The following is a 1,830-nucleotide window of genomic DNA, read 5'->3' on the forward strand; positions in this document are numbered from 1 at the left end:
TTTAGTAGAGATGGAGTTTCACCAGGTTGTCCAGGCTGGTCTCGAACTTCTGTCCTCTGGTGATTCACCCACCTCGGCCTCCCAAAATGCTGAGATTACAGGCATGAGCCACCGCGCTTGGTTGTATCATTTTGTTTTTAAGAGACAGGGTATTGCTTAATATTGAGTATATAAAGAACACTTACACCTCAAAAACTTGACAAAAACAAAGAGGCCAGGCACAGTGGCTCATACCTGTACTCCCAGCACTTTGGGAGACTGAGATGGGAAGATCACTTGAGGCCAGGAGTTCAAAGCCAGCTTGGTCAACATAGTGAGATCCCCATCTCTAAAAAAGAGAAAATATAAAATAAAAAAATGGTCAGGCTACATGGCTCATGCCTGTAATCCTAGAACTTTGGAAGGTCAAGTCGGGAGGATCACTGGAGGCCAGGAGTTTGGGACCAGCCTGGGCAACATAGCAAGACCTGCCCCCATCTCTAAAAAAATGTACAAAATTATCCAGGCATGGTGATACGCACCTGTATTCCAAGCTACTTGGGAAGCTGAGGCAGGAGAATCCCTTGAACAGAGGAGGCGTTGGTTGCAGTGGGCTGAGATTGGGCCACTGCACTCCAGCCCAGGGAACAGAGCTGGAGTTCCCAGAGACTCTGTATCAAAAAATAAAAAACAAAAAAAGAGAAAAACATTTGTTGTTACAATCAGGTCACAAGCCTGCAGTCAGAGTCATCCTATTAAAGTCAGCTCATGTCTCCTCTGCTCAATAGTCTCCAATACTTCCCATCTCATCTCACTCTGAGGAAAAACCAAAATCCTTAAGAGGACCAACAATCACTTTATGATCTGGACCCATCGCCTCTCCGCCCTCAGTTGCAACAGCTCCTACTTCAGTCTTCCCTAGCCTGATGGCTCCCCTGCTATTCCTCAAACACCATGGCAGATGCCTGCCTCTGGGACTTGGTGTTCACATTTCTGTACGTCTGAAATGTTCCTCCCTCAGATATCCAAATGGCTATCTTCCTTGCTGCATAAAGGTTGTTACCAAATGGCAGCTGAGTAAAGGCTTCCCTGGCCACCCTATCTAAACTTTTACCACTCTCCCACACTCCCAAAAACCACTTCCTAACCTCTTTAACTGCTTCATTTTTTCTCCTTAAGACCACCACCTAACATAATGTATATATTTTCCCTCTTTGTTTTCTGTTGGTGCCCTTCACTGGAATGTGAGCTCTATGAAGCAGGGGCTTAGTGTCTCCACTGCAGTCTATCTTGCATAGTTACATCCTTCATTATTTCACTCTTAGCTAAGTTCAAGCTAGTTTACTACTGCTGCATAGAGTTTAAACACTTCTATCAGGAATTCACTATGTTTCTGGATTTATGTGACTTTTTTGTTCCCTTCTGTTTATGATATATGATAGACTCTTGCTATTCTTAGAATTCTTTAAGACTCACAAGCCCACAAACTGGAATATTTGTAGAGGCCCCTGGTCGTCCCTTGAATCATACATCCAAACCCCAAATTAACTCCTTTCAACATGTATTAAAGCTGCTTTCTTCTTGATCAATTCAGAAGAGTTATTATGTTGAAAAGTACAAAGCTGCACTGAGATTCAGACAATGGCATGTATCACGCTTGCTCTAGCAGATCATTGATCTTTGTGGGACCGCTTGTAAACCACACATGCTGAGGAGGCAACATCAAGTATGAGGTGACTCTTGAACCGTTTGTACTAGTGATTATCTTTTCCCCATGTCTTTCTGTCTCTTTACTTACACTGTTATTGGAGCTATACCTTCTTCACTGGTAATTTCCACTCCTAAATCCAA

Source organism: Homo sapiens, unplaced genomic scaffold, assembly GCF_000001405.40.
Source record: "Homo sapiens unplaced genomic scaffold, GRCh38.p14 Primary Assembly HSCHRUN_RANDOM_CTG6".
Taxonomy (NCBI): domain Eukaryota; kingdom Metazoa; phylum Chordata; class Mammalia; order Primates; family Hominidae; genus Homo; species Homo sapiens.